We start from the raw sequence: 17,777 nt of genomic DNA, 5'->3' as shown, positions 1-17,777 counted from the left end.
AAGAGCAAGAATTTATTTAATCAGTCTTCTAAGAGTAGGGTTATTTTTTTGCATTATTTTTTGCTAGTTCACATAAGACTTAAGTAAATATCTTTGAAATGAGTATTTGTGCACTTGGATGACCTTTCTAAATGTAAGATTGGTAACCCAAAAACTTAGGAACACTTCTACTTTTGAGAGATTTTACCAAATTTTTCTTCTTGATGTTATTGTACTAATTTGTAATTCTTCCATCAATAAATGATACTGGACTTCTGAATTTTCTTGGTAACGTGGCTAACTAGGTTTCCTTACCCGCACTCTCAACAAAAAACTATATAAAATGGTAGATAAAATATCAGAAAACATTTTAAATGCACTGGTAAACTAACAAGGAAGCAAGAGGGAATATCTCTCCTTTTTGTTAATCATAATTTTTTACCTAAATTCAAATTACCCAGGTGGATCAAAATATCTTAAGCTGAGAATTGATTTTAAAGTGACCTTGGATGGGTAATGCCCCTAAGTGCCTGGAAAAGGGTAAACATAAATCTTTTTGGCAAGAAAAAAGTCCCACAACAAAAAAATTAAGGCCAACATACAAGTTGTGACAGGAAATCAGGAAGGTTAGTTATATAAAGTGTACATTTACAAGAATGGCCCTTTAAAACAAAACTATAAATCAATTTCACATATTTCAATATATCATATATGTACAAATCCTAAGTGAAATGGGTAGACAAAATTCTAACAAAATAATATTTAGTTTAGATAATCTTTTAAAATAATATACTATTATTAATTTATTCACCTTCAGAGCAACACATGAAGAAAATAACTAAACACACAGGAAACAATAGACATGAATGAAACTAATAGAGACAGAAAATAAAATATTCATGCATATTACATTTAAAGAGATAAAAGCCAAGCTTGAAAACATAAGCATGAAATAAGAACTCATAAATAATGACCAAGAAATTCAGAAAGGAACCAAATTTAACTTATAAAAATGAAAAATATCAATGAAATTGAAAACATAATGGAAAAATTTAATAATAGATTAAAACTTTGGCTGATAAGGATCTATCAATGTAAGTTTATCAATTGTAACACTCTGGTGGGGAATGTTGATATTGGGGGAAGCTATGCATGTGCGAGAGAAGGGGGCATATGAGATATTGCTGTACCTTACTCTCAATTTTGCTGCGATTCAAAAACTTATCTAAAAACGTAGTCTTTAGAAAGTAGATTAGAGACTTTTGCTTATCCTGTTTTCATGTATTTAAAAGACAATTTACCAATTAAAGTAAAAATAGTAAATGTGGGGTTTATAACATATGTAGAAGTGAAATGTATAACAATAACACAAAGAGCAGAAGGGAGAACTGGAACATACTGTGATAAGGTTCTAACAGTACTGTGCAGAAAGTGGCATAATATTATTTGAAGGTTGGGTGTGATAAATTAATGGTGCAATTTGTAACTCTTGAAACGTCTAAGAAGAAAACAGTAAAGCGAATAAGTCAATAGTGGGGACACAATGGAACACTTAAAAATTTCAGTTAATTCGGCCAGGCACAGTGGCTCATGCCTGTAATGCCAGCACTGTGGGAGGCCAAGGTGGGCGAATCACCTGAGGTCAGGAGTTCAAGACCAGCCTGAACAACATGGAGAAACCCCATCTCTACTAAAAATACAAAATTAGCTGGGCGTGGTGGTGCGTGCCTGTAATCCCAGCCATTTGGGAGGCTGAGGCAGGAGAATTGATTGAACCTGGGAGGCGGAGGTTGCCATGAGCAAAGATCGCACCATTGCACTCCAGCCTGGGCAATAAGAGCAAAACTCTACCTCAAAAAAAAAAAAAAAAAATCAGTTAATTCAAGAGGAGAAATGTAATAAAGAAGAGATAGAATGTTTTTCCATTTGTCTGTGTCCTCTTTTATTTCCTTGAGCAGTGGTTTGTAGTTCACCTTGAAGAGGTCCTGCACATCCCTTGTAAGTTGTATTCCTAGGTATTTTATTCTCTTAGTAGCAATTGTGAATGGGAGTTCACTCATGATTTGGCTCTCTGTCTGTTATTGGTGTATAGGAATGCTTGCAATTTTTGTACATTGATTTTTGTATCTTGAGACTTTGCCGAAGTTGATTATCAGCTTAAGATGTTGGGCTGAGATGATGGGGTTTTCTAAATATACAATTATGTCATCTGCAAACAGAGACAATTTGACTTCCTCTCTTCCTACTTGAATACCCTTTATTTCTTTCTCTTTCCTGATTGCCCTGGCCAGAACTTCCAATACTATGTTGAATAGGAGTGGTGAGAGAGGGCATCCCTGTCTTGTGCCAGTTTTCAAAGGGAATACTTCCAGTTTTTGCCCGTTCTGTATGATATTGGCTGTGGGTTTGTCATAAATAGCTCTTATTATTTTGAGATACGTTCCATCGATACCTAGTTTATTGAGAGTTCTTAGCATGAAGGGGTGTTGAATTTTGTTGAAGGCCTTTTCTGCATCTATTGAGATAATCACGTGATTTTTGTCATTGATTCTGTTTATGTGATGGATTACATTTATTGATTTGTGTATGTTGAACCAGCCTTGCATCCCAGGTATGAAGCCGACTTGATCGTGGTGGATAAACTTTTTGATGTGCTGCTGGATTTGGTTTGACAGTATTTTATTCAGAATTTTTGCAGTGATGTTCATCAGGGATATTGGCCTGAAAGTTTCATTTTTTGTTGTGTCTCTGCCAGGCTTTGGTATGAGGATGACGCTGGCCTCATAAAATGAGTTAGAGAGGATTCCCTCTTTTTCTATTGTTTGGAATTGTTTCAGAAGGAATGATACCAGCTCCTCTTTGTACCTCTGGTAGAATTCGGCTGTGAATCTGTCTGGTCCTGGACTTTTTTTGGTTGGCACGCTATTAATTACCGCCTCAATTTCAGAACTTGTTATTGGTCTATTCAGGTATTCGATTTCTTCTCGATTTAGACTTGGGAGCATGTTTGTGTCCAGGAATATATCAATTTCTTCTAGGTTTTCTAGTTTATTTGCATAGGGGTGTTTATAGTATTCTCTGATGGTAGTTTGTATTTCTGTGGGATCAGTGGTGATATCCCCTATATCATTTTTTATTGTGTCTATTTGATTCTTCTCTCTTTTCTTCTTTATTATTCTGGCTAGCAGTCTATCTATTTTGTTGATCTTTTCAAAAAACCAGCTCCTGGATTCATTGATTTTTTGAAGGTTTTTTTGTATCTCTATCTCCTTCAGTTCTGCTCTGATCTTAGTTATTTCTTGTCTTCTGCTAGGTTTGAATTTGTTTGCTGTTGCTTCTCTAGTTCTTTTAATTGTGATGTTAGGGTGTCAATTTTAGATCTTTCTTGCTTTCTCTTGTGGGCATTTAGTGCTATAAATTTCCCTCTACACACTGCTTTAAATGTGTCCCAGAGATTCTGGTACTTTGTGACTTCGTTCTCATTGGTTTCAAAGAACATCTTTATTTCTGTCTTCATTTCGTTATGTACCCAGTAGTCATTCAGGAGCAGGTTGTTCAGTTTCCATGTATTTGTGTGGTTTTGAGTGAGTTTCACATTTCATGCTCATGGATAGGAAGAATCAATATCATGAAAATGGCCATACTGCCCAAAGTAATTTACAGATTCCATGCTATACCCATCAAGCTACCACTGACTTTCTTCACAGAATTGGAAAAAACGACTTTAAACTTCATATGGAACCAAAAAAGAGCTCACATAGCCAAGACAATCCTAAGCAAACAAACAAACAAACAAAAAAACAAAGCTGGAGGCATCATGCTACGTGACTTCAAACTATATTACAAGGCTACAGTAACCAAACAGCATTGCACTGGTACCAAAGCAGATATATAGACCAATGGAACAGAACAGAGGCATCCAAAATAACACCACACAGCTACAACCATCTGATCTTTGACAAACCTTACACAAACAAACAATATTTAATAAATGGTGTTGGGAAAACTAGCTAGCCATATGCAGAAAACTGAAACTGGACCCATTTCTTACACCTTATACAAAAATCAACTCAAGATGGATTAAAGATTTAAACATAAGACCTCAAATCATAAAAATCCTAGAAGAAAACTTGGGCAATACCATTCAGGACATAGACATGGGCAAAGACTTCATGTCTAAAACACCAAAAGCAATGGCAACAAAAGCCAAAATTGACAAATGGGATCTAATTAAACTAAAGAGCTTCTGCACAGCAAAAGAAACTATCATCAGAGTGAACAGGCAACCTACAGAATGGGAGAAAATTTTTGCAATCTATCCATCAGACAAAGGGCTGATATCCAGAATCTACAAATAACTTAAACAAATTTATAAGAAAAAAACAAACAACCCCATCAAAAAGTGGGTGAAGGATATGAACAGACACTTCTCAAAAGAAGACATTTTTATAGCCAAAAAACATATGAAAAAATGCTCATCATCAGTGGTCATTAGAGAAATGCAAATCAAAACCACAATGAGATAACATCTCACGCCAGTTAGAATGGTGATCATTAAAAAGTCAGGAAACAACAGATGTTAGAGAGGATGTGGAGAAATAGAAATACTTTTACACTGTTGGTGGGAGTGTAAATTAGTTCAACCACTGTGGAAGACAGTGTGGCGATTCCTCAAGGATCTAGAACCAGAGATAACATTTGACTCAGCAATCTCATTACTGGGTATACACCCAAAGGATTATAAATCATTCTATTATAAAGACACATGCACACATATGTTGATTACGGCACTATTTACAATAGCAAAGACTTGGAACCAACCCAAATGTCCATCAATAATAGATTGGATAAAGAAAATGTGGCACACATACACCATGGAATACTATGCCGTCATAAAAAAGGATGAGTTCATGTCGTTTGCAGGGACATGGATGAAGCTGGAAACCATCATTCTCAGCAAACTATCACAGAAAAGAAAACCCAACACCACATGTTCTCACTCATAAGTGGGAGTTGAACAAGGAGAACACATGGACACAGGGAGGGGAATATCACACACTGGGGCCTGTCAGTGGTGGGGGGCTAGTGGAGGGATAGCATTAGGAGAAATATCTAGTGTAGGTGATGGGTTGATGGGTGTAGCAAACCACCATGGCGTGTGTATACTTATGTAACAAAACTGGATGTTTTTCACAAGTACCTCACTACTTAAAGTATAATTAAAAAAAAAAGAAAAAAGGAGAAGAGATAGAAAGGAAAGAAAATAGCAAGATGGTAAATTAAACCAAATGATTTATTGAAAACTTCATTAACTGTAAATAATCTAAAGACTTGAATTAAAACACAAAGATTGTCACATTGGACAAAAAAAACAAGACAAATATATATGCTGCCTATAAGAAATCTACTTTAAATATAATGACCCAGATAACAGTAAAAGGATAAAAACATATACTATGCAAAAACTAATTGTAAGAAAGCTGAAGTGATTCTATTAGTATCAAACAAAATAGATTTCAAACAAATACTATTACCAGAGATAAAGAGGACCATTTCATATTAACAAGGGTCAATTTGCTGAAAAAAAGTAATTATCCTACACATGTGTACACACAATAGGAGAAGTTCAAAATATATAAAGCAAATATATAAAAGAAATAGACAAATCACAAAGCTTGAGACTCCCTCTATCAGCAATTGATAGAACAGATAGATGTAGACAGAAAATAAGTAAGAATATAGAATACCTGAATGACACTTCAACCAATTAACATTTATAAAACACTCAACAGCAGCAGAATACTGATTCCTTATAAGTTAACATTGAACATGCAATAGGAGAGACCATATGCTAGGCTATAGAACCACTCACAATAAAATTTAAAAAGGTTGACATCATACATAATAAATTCTCTTACAGAAATGAAATTGAATTGGAAATCAATAGCATAAAGCTATTTGTTTCTCAGTCTATGATGTCAGTGGAGGACAGGCGGAAATTCTGACTTTACATTGCCACCCAGTAGTAACAAGATATCCCTTTCCCTTTCCTCCAAATTGGTGTAAGAGGAGGCTGAGTGAGAAGCTAAATCTTTTTTTTTTTTTGACAGTTAAAAAAAGTTTTAATTGACACATCATAATTATACAAATATATGAGATACAGTGTGATGTTTCAATATATGTACACATTGTGTAACGATCAAATCAGGGTAATTAGCATATCTATCATCTCAAACATTTATTCATTTACTTGTGGTGAGAACAGGTAAAATCTTCTTTTCTAGCTACCTTGAAATATATAATACATTGTTATGATCTGTAGTCAACCTACTACGTAATAAAACACTAGAACTTATTCCTTCTATCTAATTGTAACTTTATACTCATTGACCAACCTCTCCCTGTTCCCTCATTCCCCCTTTTCCATCCTCTGGTGACCACTATTCTACTCTCTGCTTCTATGAGATTAACTTTTGTAGATTCTGTGGATGAGTGAGATCGTGCAGCATTTGTCTTCTGTGTCTTAGATTCATTTAGCAAATTGTCCTCGAAGTTCATCTGTGTTTCTGTGAATAATAGGATTTCATTCCCTTTTTATAGTTGAATAGTACTCAATTGTGTATATATACCACATTTTCTTTAGCCATTTTTCTATAGATAAACATATAGATTGAGTCCATCTCTTGGCTATTGTGAATACTGCTGTAGTAAACATGAGAATGCAGGTTTCTCTTTGTTTTTTTTTTTTTAATGGTGTCAATTTTAAATAGTTTTATTTAAGACATTGCATTTTCCACTTAAAATACAGTGTTTATAAAGTGCAATTTTATTTCCTTCACCTGTGCGTATGTTCCATATTCAAGTATTGAGAATGCCCAGTAACTTACTATAGCAGCTGAACTTAACTGCCACAGAATTTGCTACAAATTTTGGTCCTTCAATGTTTTAAATGTGTGGAACAATGTTACGTCTATACTTGGGTTGGCTTAATCAGCCTCTTCAATAGTAGGCCCTGAGGAAGCACCACCAAAGCGAGGAGCTCCACCACCAGGGAATCCCCCAGGCATTCCTCCTGGCATGCCTCCTGCACTCTGGTACAGCTTGGTGTTGATGGGGTTGCAGACTTTCTCCAGCTTTCTGCTGATGTTCAAATTCTTCCTTCTCAGCAGCTTGATTCTTATCGAGCCAGTTGATAATTTCATTACACTTGTCCAGAATCTTCTGTTTGTCATCATCGTTAATCTTGCCCTGAAGTTTCTCATCTTCAACAGTTGATTTCATGTTGAATGCATAGGACTCAAGTGAATTCTAGGATGACACTTTGCCCCTCTGCTTCTCATCTTCAGCTTTGTACTTCTCAGCTTCCTGGGCCATACGTTCAATGTCTTCCTTGCTCAAACGGCGCTTGTCATTAGTGATAGTAATCTTGTTCTCTTTTCCTGTACTCTTGTCCACAGCAGAGACATTGAGGATGACATTGGCATCAATGTCAAAAGTGACTTCAACCTGAGGAACACCTCAGGGTGCAGGAGGTATGCCTGTGAGTTCAAACTTGCCAAACAGTTGTTATCCTTGGTCATGGCACACTCACCTTCATAAACCTGAATAAGCACACCAGGCTGGTTGTCAGAATAGGTAGTGAAGTTCTGTGTCTGCTTGGTAGGAATGGTAGTATTGCGCTTGATGAGGACGGTCATGACTCCATCAGCAGCTTCAATACGAAGGGAAAGAAGAGTGACATCCAAGAGCAGCAAATCTTGAACATTTTCAGACTTGTCTCCAGACAGGATGGCTGCCTGGACAGCTGCACCATAAGCGATGGCTTCATCAGGGTTGATGCTCTTATTCAGTTCTTTTCTATTGAAGAGGTCTTGGAGAAGTTTCTGAATCAGGGATATGAGTAGAACCACCAATCAGGACAATGTCATGAATCTGTGACTTCTCTAGTTTGGCATCTCGAAGGGCTTTCTCTATGGGGTCCAGGGTGCCATGGAACAGGTCAGCATTCTTTTCTTCAAATCGGGCATGGGTAATGGAGGTGTAGAAGTTGATTCCTTCATAAAGAGAATCGATCTCAATACTGGCCAGGGTGCTGGAAGAGAGAGTACACTTAGCTCATTCACAAGCAGTATGGAGGCATCTTAAAACTCTCTTGTTCTCATTGATGCCTTTCTTATGCTTGTGCTTGAACTCAGCAGTAAAAATGGTTGACCATTCGGTAGTCAAAATCTTCTCCACACAAGTGGGTGTCTCCGGCTCTAGATTTGACCTCAAAGATTCCATCCTCAGTAGTGAGGATTGACACATTGAAAGTGTCATCTCCCAGGTCAAAGATCAGCACATTTCTTTCTGCTCCAACCTTTTTGTCTAAGCCATAAGCAATAGCAGCTGCAGTTGGCTCATTAATAATTCTAAGTACATTGAGACCAGCAATAGTTCCAGCATCTTTGGTAGCCTGACACTGACAGTCATTAAAGTAAGCTGACACTGTGACCACAGCATTGGTAACAATCTTCCCAAGGTCGGCTTCTGCAATTTCCTTCATCTTTGTCAGAACCATAGAGGGTACCTCCTCTGGATAGAAGCTTTTTGTCTCTCCCTTGTATTCTACTTGGACCTTGAGCCTGACAGCATCATTCACCACCATGAAGGGCCAATGCTTCATATCAGACTGGACAACAGCGTCATCAAATCTGCATCCAATCAGACATTTGGCATCAAAAACGTTTGGCGTGTTGGTGGGGTTCATTGCAACTTGATTCTTTGTGGCATGACGGGTCAATCATTCAGTGTCCGTAAAGGTGACATAGGTTGGAGTGGTTCCGTTTCCCTGATCATTGGCAATTATCTCTACTTTTCCGTGCTGGAAAACACCCACACAAGAGTAGGTGGTGCCAAGATCAATACCAACTGCAGGTCCCTTCGACATGGTTGCTGGCATGTAGGCCTGGCTCCAACAAAGAAGAAAGCCACAGGAACCCCGAGAGCTGCAGGCGAGTTCAATTGCAGGTTTCTCTTTGACATACTGATTTCAATTCCTGTGGATAAATACTCAGTAGTGAAATTGCTGGATCATATGGTAATTCTTTTTAAATTTTTTGAGAAACCTTTACACCATTTTCCATAATAGTTGTACTAATTTACATTTCCACCAATAGTGTGTAAGAATTTTCCTTTCTAGCAGCTGGGTACAGTGGTGTGGGCCTGTAGTCTCAGATACTCAGGAGGCTGAGGCAGGAGGATAGTTTGAGCCCAGGACTTTGAGGCCAACCTGGGCAATACGGTGAGACATTATCTTTAAAAAAAAAAAAAGTGTTTAAAAAGATGAGTTCCCTTTTCTCTGCATCCTTGTCAGCATGTTTTACTTTTCATCTTTTAGATAACAGCCATTCTAATTGAGGTGAGGTGGTATCTCATTGTGATTTTGATTTGCATTTCCCTGATGATTAGTGATGTTGAGCATTTTGTCATTTACCTGGTGATTTGTATGTCTTATTTTGAGAAATGTCTATTCAGGTCTTTTGCTTATTTTAAAATCTGATTTTTTGTGGGGTTTTTTTGGCATTGAGTTGTTTGAATTCCTTGTGTATACTAAATATTAATCCCTTGTCAGATGGAAAGTTTGTGAATATTTTTTCCCATTCTTAAGATTGTCTCTTCACTCTGTTGATTGTTTCCTTTGCTATGCAGAAGGTTTTTGGTTTGTCCCATTTGTCTATTTTGCTTTTGTTGCCTGTGCTTCTGAGGTCCTGTCCAAAAAATTCTTGCCCAGACCAATTTCATGAAGTGTTTCCCCAGTGTTTTCTTCTAGTAGTTTATAGTTTTGGGTCTTACATTTCAGTCTTTAATCCATTTTGAGTTTTTTTTAATATGGTGAAAGATAGAGGTCTTTCATTTTTCCACATGTGAATATTCAGTTTTCCCAGCACCATTTATTGAAGAGACTGTCCTATTCCCCATGGGTGTTCTTGACACCTTTGTTGACAATTAATTGACTGTAAATGTGTGGATTTATTTCTGGATTTCTTTCTGCTCCATTGGTCTATGTGTCTGTTTTTATGCCAGTACCATGCTGATTGCATTATTATGGCTTTTTTGTGTATTTTGAAGTCAGTGTGTTGTCTCCAGCTTTATGCTTTTTGCTCAGGATTGCTTTGTCTATTTGATGTCTTTAGTGGTTCCATACGAATTTTAGGATTGTTCTTATATTTCTATGAAGAATGTCATTAATATTTTGATAGGAAGTGTGTTGAATCTATACAACATCATGGGTAGTATGGACATTTTAACAATATTGATTCTTCCAATCCATGAACACAGATAACTTTCAATTTATTTGTGCTATCTTGAATTTCTTTCATCAATGTTTTATAGTTTTTATAGTAGATATCTTTCACTTCCTTGGTTAAGCTTATTCCTAGTGTTTTTTTTTTGGTAGCTATTATAAATAGAACTTCTTTCTTGATTCTTTTTTAGATAGTGTGCTATTGGCATATAGAACTACTACTGATTTTTGTAGGTTGATTCTGTGTCTTGAAACTTTACTGAATTCATTTATTCGTTTTGGATCTGGGTCACACTGATGAAAGAGGTGGGTTCCCATGGTCTTCGGTAGCTCTGCCCCTGTGGCTTTGTAGGGTACAGCCTCCTTCCTGGCTGCTTTCATGGGCTAGTGTTGAGTGTCTGTGGCTTTTTCAGGCTCACAGTGCAAGCTGTCAGTGGATCTACCATTCTGGTGTCTGGAGGATGGTGGCCCTCTTCTCACAGCTCCACTAGGCAGCACCTCAGTGGGGATTCTGTGTGGAGGCTTGCACCCCACATTTCCTTTTTGCACTGCCCTAGCAGAGGTTCTCCATGAGTGTCCCACCCCTGCAGCAAACTTCTGCCTGAACATCCAGGCATTTCCATACATCCTCTGAAACCTAGGCAGAGGTTCCCAAACCTTAATTTTTGACTTCTATGCACCTGCAGGCTCAACACCATGTGGAAACTGCCAAGACTTGGAGCTTGCACCCTCTGAAGCCATGGCTTGAGCTGTACCTTGGCCCCTTTTAGTTGCAGCTGAAGTGGCTGGGACGCAAGGCACCAAGTTCCTAGGCTGCACACAACAGAGAGACCCTGGGCCTAGCCCACAGAGCCATTTTTTCCTCCTATGTCTCTGGGCCTGTGATGGGAGGGACTGTCATAAAGGTCTCTGACATGCCCTGGAGACATTTTCCCCAGTGTCTTGGTGATTAACATTCAGCTCCTCATTATTTATGGAAATATCTGCAGGCAGCTTGAAATTCTCCTCAGAAAATGGGATTGTTTTTTCCTATTGCATTGTTAAGCTGAAAATTTTCTGAACTTTTATGCTCTGTTTCCCTTTTAAAACTGAATGCCTTTAACAGCACCCAGGTAATCTCTTCAATGCTTTGCTGTTTAGAAATTTCTTCTGCCAGATACCCTAAATCATCTCTCTCAAGTTCAAAGTTCCACAAATCTCTAGGGCTGGGGCAAAATGCCACCAGTCTCTTTGCTAAAACATAACAAGAGTCACCTTTGCTCCAGTTCCAAACAAGTTCCTCATCTCCATCTGAGACCACCTCAACCTGGATTTCATTGTCCATATCATTATCAGCATTTTGGTCAAAGCCATTCATTAAGTCTCTAGGGAGTTCCAAACTTTCCCACATTTTCCTGTCTTCTTCTGAGCCCTCCAAACTGTTCCAACCTCTGCCCGTTACCCAGTTTCAAAGTTACTTCCACATTTCAGATATCTTTTCAGCAGTGTCCCTCTCTACTGGTACCAATTTACTGTATTAGTTTTTTTCATGCTGCTGATAAAGACATACCTGAGACTGGGAAGAAAAAGAGGTTTAATTGCTGTACAGTTCCATGTGGCTGGGGAGGCCTCACAATCATGGCAGAAGACAAGGAGGAGCAAGTCATGTCTTACATGGATGGCAACAGGCAAAGAGAGAGAGCTTGTGCAAGGGAACTCCTCCTTTTAAAACCATCAGATCTCATGAGACTTATTCACTATCACAAGAACAGCACGGGAAAGACCTGCCCCCATGATTCAATTACCTCCCACTGTGTCCCTCCCATAACACATGGGAATTCAAGGTGAGATTTGAGCAGGGACACAGCCAAACCATATCAACCATGTATTTTCTTTATCCCCCTGAATTTCATGTCATTTATATATGAATACTTAAACATGGGTTTGTTATTTTATTTTTAAATTTTTGTGAGTACATAGTAGGTATTTATATTTATGGGATACATGAGATGTTTTGATACAGGCATGCAACATGAAATAAACACATCATGGAGAATGGGATATCCATCTCATCAAGCATTTATCCTTTGAGTTACAAACAATCCAATTACACTCTTTGAGTTAATTTAAAATGTATATTGTTTTTATTGACTATAGACATTCAGTTGTGCTATCAAATCATAGGTCTTATTCATTCTTCCTACTTTTTTGTACCCATTAACCATCCCCATCTCTCCCCAAGCCACCCATTACCTTTCCCAGCCTCTGGTAACAATCCTTGTACTCTCTGTGTCCATGAGTTCAGCTGTTTTGAGTTTTAGATCCCATAAAAAAGTAAAAACATGCAATGTCTGTCTTTTTGTGCCTAGCTTATTTTACTTAAAATAATGATCTCCAGTTCCATCCATGTCATTGCAAATGACTGGATCTATTTTTTTTATGGCTGAATAGTACTCCATTGTGTATGTGTGCCACATTTTCTTTTTCCATTTTTCTGTTGATGGACAGTCAGGTTGCTCCCAATCTTAGATATTGTAAACAATCCTGCAACAAAAATAGTAGTGCAGATATGTCTTGATACACTGATTTCCCTCCTTTTGGATATACACACAGCAGTGGGATTGTTGGATCACATGGTAGCTCAATTTTCAGTTTAATGAGGAACCTCCAAACTGTTCTCTATAGTGATTTTACTAATTTACATTCCCACCAACATACAAGCATTCTCTTTTCTCCACATCCCCACCAGCATCTGTTATTGCCTGTCTTTTGGATATAAGACATTTTAACTGGGGTGAGATGATATCTTATTGTAGTTTTGATTTGCATTTCTCTGATGATCAATCATGTTGAGTACCTTTTCATATGCCTGTTTGCCATTTGTATATCTTCTTTTGAGAAATGTCTATTCAAACCTTTTGTCCATTTTTTAGTCAGATTATTAGATTTTTTCCTATAAAGTTGTTTGAGCTCCTTATATATTCTGGTTATTAATCTCTTGTCAGATAGGTAGCTTGTAAATACTTTCTCCCATTCTGTAGGTTGTCTCTTCACTTTATTGACTGTATTTTTTGCTGTACAGAAGCTTTTTAACTTGGTATGATCCCATTTGTCCAGTTTTGCTTTGGTTGCCAGTGCTTGTGGGGTATTAGTCAAAATTTTTTTGCCCAGACCAATGTCCTGGAGATTTCCCAAATGTTTTATTGTAGTAGTTTCATAGTTTGAGGTCTCAGATGTAAGCCTTTAATCCATTTTGATTTGGTTTTTGTATATGGTGAAAGATAGGGGTTGAGTTTCATTCTTCTGCATATGGATATCCAGTTTTCCCAGCACAATTTATTGAAGAGACCGTCTTTTCTCCAGTGTGTGTTCTTGGCACCTTTGCTGAAAATGAGTTCACTGTAGGTGTGTGGATTTGTTTCTGGGTTCTCTATTCTGTTCCATTGGCCTACGTGTCTGTTTTTGTGTCAGTACCATGTTGTTTTGGTTACTACAGCTCTGTAGTACAATTTGAAGTCAGGTAATATGATTCCTCCAGTTTTGTTCTTTTTGCTTAGGATAGCTTTGGGTATTCTGGGTCTTTTGTGGTTTCATATATATTCTAGGAATTTTTTTCTATTTCTGTGAAGAATGTCATTGGTATTTTGATAGGGATTGCATTGAATCTGTAGATTGCTTTGGGTAGCATGAACATTTTAACAATATTGATTCTTCCAATGCATGAACATGGAATATCTTTCCACTTGTTGGTGTCCTCTTCAATTTCTTTCATCAGTATTTTATAGTTTTTATTATAGAGACCTTTCACTTCTTTGATTAAGTCAATTCCTAGGTATGCAGTTTTATCTGTGGCTATTGTAAATGGGATTACTTTTTAAATTTCTTTTTAACATTGTTCACTGTAGGCATATAGAAATGCTACTGATTTTTTATGTTGACTTTTTATCCCTCAACTTTACTGAATTTATCAGTTCTAATAGTTTTCTTGCAAAGTGTTTATATTTTTCCAAATATAAGATTATATCATCTGCAGACAAGGGTAATTTGACTTCTTTCTTTCCAGTTTGGGTGCCCTTTATATCTTTCCCTTATCTGATTACTCTAGTTAGGGCTTCCAGTACTATGTTGAATAATGGTGATGATAATGGGCATCCTTGTCATGTTCCAGATCTTAGAAGAAACGTTTTCAGTTTTTCCCCATTTGGTGTGATTCTAGTGTGAGTCTGTTGTATATGGCTTTTATTATGTTGAGGTATGTTCCTTCTATCCCCAATTTTTTCTTGGGATTTTTATATGAAAAGATGTTGAATTTTATCAAATGCATTTCAACATCAATTGAAATGATCATATGGTTTTGATACTTCATTCTGTTGATATAATGTAGCACACTGATTTCCATATGTTGAACCATCCCTGCATCCCAGGGATAAATCCCACTTTGTTATGATGAATGATCTTTCTAATATATTGTTGAACTCAATTTGCTAGTATTTTGTTGAGGATTTTTGCATCAATATTCAGAGATATTGGCCTGAAGTTTACCTTTTTTTGATGTGTCTTTGTCTGGTTTTGGTATCAGGGCAATATGGGCCTCATGTAATGAGTTTTGAAGTATTTCCTCCTCTATTTTATGGAACAGTTTGAGCAGGATTGGTATTAGTTCTTTAAATGTTTGGTAGAATTCAACAGTGAAGCCATCAGGTCCTGGGCTTTTCTTTACTGGGAGACTTTTTATTATGGCTTTGATCTCATTACTTTCATTGGTCTGTTTGGGTTTTGGATTTCTTCCAAATTCCACCTTGGTAGGCTGTATGAGTCTAGGAATTTGTGTATTTCTTCTTGATTTTCCAATTTATTGGCATTTAATTGCTCATAGTAGCCACTAATAATCCTTTGATTTTTTGCAGTATTAGTTGTAATGTCTTCTTTCTCATTTCTGATTTTATGAATTTAGATCCTCTCTCTTTTTTTCTTAGTCTGGCAAAAAGTTTGTCAATTTTTCTTAAGTTATATAAAAATTTTTAATTGATATTTTAGATTTCTTTATATAAATTGTATTTATTTCTGCTCAGATATTTATTATTTCTTTTCTTCTACTATTTTTGGGTTGGATTTGCCCTTACTTTTCTAGTTCTTTTAAGATGCATTGTTGGATTTTTCATTTGAAGTTTTCCCTCTTTTTTGATGTAGGCACTTATCACTATTGATATAAAATTCCATCTTAGTACTGTATTTGCTATATCCCACAGGTTTTGGTAAGTTGTGTTTCTATTATCATTTGTTTCAAGAAATTTTAAAATTTCATTCTTAATTTATTTATTGACACACTGGTCATTCAGGAGCACAATGTTTAATTTCTATGTATTTGTATAATTTCCAAAATTCCTCTTGTCATTAATTTCTAGTTTTTTTGTTTAATTTTTATTTTTTAATTTTATTTATTGATCATTCTTGGGTGTTTCTCGCAGAGGGGGATTTGGCCGGGTCATAGGACAATAGTGGAAGGAAGGTCAGCAGATAAACAAATGAACAAAGGTCTCTGGTTTTCCTAAGCAGAGGACCTTGGGGCCTTCTGCAGTGTTTGTGTCCCTGGGTACTTGAGATTAGGGAGTGGTGATGACTCTTAATGAGCATGTTGCCTTCAAGCATCTGTTTAACAAAGCACATCTTGCACCACCCTTAATCCATTTAACCCTGAGTGGACACAGCACATGTTTCAGAGAGCACCGGGTTGGGGGTAAGGTCATAAATCAACAGGATCCCAAGGCAGAATTTTTCTTAGTACAGAACAAAATGGAGTCTCCTATGTCTACTTCTTTCTACACAGACACAGCAACAATCTGATTTCTCTATCTTTTCCCCACATTTCCCCCTTTTCTATTTGACAAAACCGCCATCGTCATCATGGCCCATTCTCAATGAGCTGTTGGGTACACCTCCCAGACGGGGTGGCAGCCAGGCAGAGGGGCTCCTCACTTCCCAGAAGGGGCAGCCGGGCAGAGGCACCCCCCACCTCCCGGACGGGGTGGCTGGCCGGCCGGGGGCTGCCCCCCACCTCCCTCCCGGACGGGTCAGCTGGCCGGGCGGGGGCTGCCCCCCCACCTCCCGGACGGGGCGGCTGCCAGGCAGAGACGCTCCTCACTTCCCAGATGGGGCGGCTGCCAGGCAGAGGGGCTCCTCACTTCTCAGACGGGGTGGCTGCCGGGCAGAGGGGCTCCTCACTTCTCAGACGGGGCGGCCGGGCAGAGACGCTCCTCACTTCCTAGATGGGATGGCGGCCAGGAAGAGGCACTCCTCACTTCCCAGACTGGGCAGCCGGGCAGAGGGGCTCCTCACAACCCAGACGATGGGCGGCCAGGCAGAGACGCTCCTCACTTCCCAGACAGGGTGGCGGCTGGGCAGAGGCTGCAATCTCGGCACTTTGGGAGGCCAAGGCAGGTGGCTCGGAGGTGGAGGTTGTAGTGAGCCGAGATCACGCCACTGCACTCCAGCCTGGGCAACATTGAGCACTGAGTGAATGAGACTCCATCTGCAATCCCAGCACCTCGGGAGGCCGAGGCTGGCAGATCACTCCTGGTTAGGAGCTGGAGACCAGCCCGGCCAATACAGCGAAACCCCATCTCCACCAAAAAAATACGAAAACCAGTCAGGCGTGGCGGCGCATGCCTGCAATCGCAGGCACTCGGCAGGTTGAGGCAGGAGAATCAGGCAGGGAGGTTGCAGTGAGCAGAGCTGGCGGCAGTACAGTCTAGCTTCGGCACAGCATCAGAGGGAGACCGTGGAAAGGGGAGAGGGAGAGGGAGAGGGAGAGGGAGAGCATTAATTTCTAGTTTTATTCCACTGTGGTCAGAGAAGATGCTTGATATGATTTCAATTTTTTTTTAATGTTTCAAGATTTATTTTGTGATCTAACATATGGTCTATCTTTGAGAATGATTGATGTGCTGAGGAAAATTATGTGTATTCTATAGCTCTTGGATAAAATGTTCTGTAAATATCTATGAAATCCATTTGGTTTATAGTGCAGATTAAGGTGGATGTTTCTTTGTTGGTTTTATGTCTGGAAGATGTGTCTAATACTGAAAGTGGGGTGTTGAAGTCTCCAACTATTATTCTATTGGGACCTATCTCTCTCTTTAACTCTAATAATATTTGCTTCATATTTCTGGGTCCTTCTGGGTCCTTAGATGCATATATATTTTAAACTGTTATATCCTCTTGCTGAATTGACTCCTTTATTATTGTATAGTGACCTTCTTTGTCTCTTCTTATAGTTTTTGTCTTGAAATATATTTTGTCTGATATATGAGAACATCAAGGGGGAAATATGCCACCATGATCCAATCACCTCCCACAAGATCCCTCCCCTGACATGTGGGGATTACAATTTGACATAAGATTTGTTTGGGAATGCAGAGCCAAGCCATATCAACAGTTTTAAAGAAACTTTTCATGATATAGGTACTCTTGCTCTTTCTTGTTTCATTTGCATATCTTTTTTAATCCCTTTATTTTCATTCTATGTGTATCTTTA

At 38.3% G+C, this 17,777-nt stretch overlaps 1 pseudogene; it reads right to left on the bottom strand.

The window, feature by feature from the left end:
• HSPA8P9 (heat shock protein family A (Hsp70) member 8 pseudogene 9) lies at window positions 7,511-8,983 on the bottom strand (annotated as a pseudogene).

This window comes from Homo sapiens, chromosome 3 (assembly GCF_000001405.40).
Source record: "Homo sapiens chromosome 3, GRCh38.p14 Primary Assembly".
In the NCBI taxonomy this organism is placed as follows: domain Eukaryota; kingdom Metazoa; phylum Chordata; class Mammalia; order Primates; family Hominidae; genus Homo; species Homo sapiens.
Note: the sequence above shows the minus strand (reverse complement) of the source record. Positions and strands in the feature narration are given on the sequence as shown.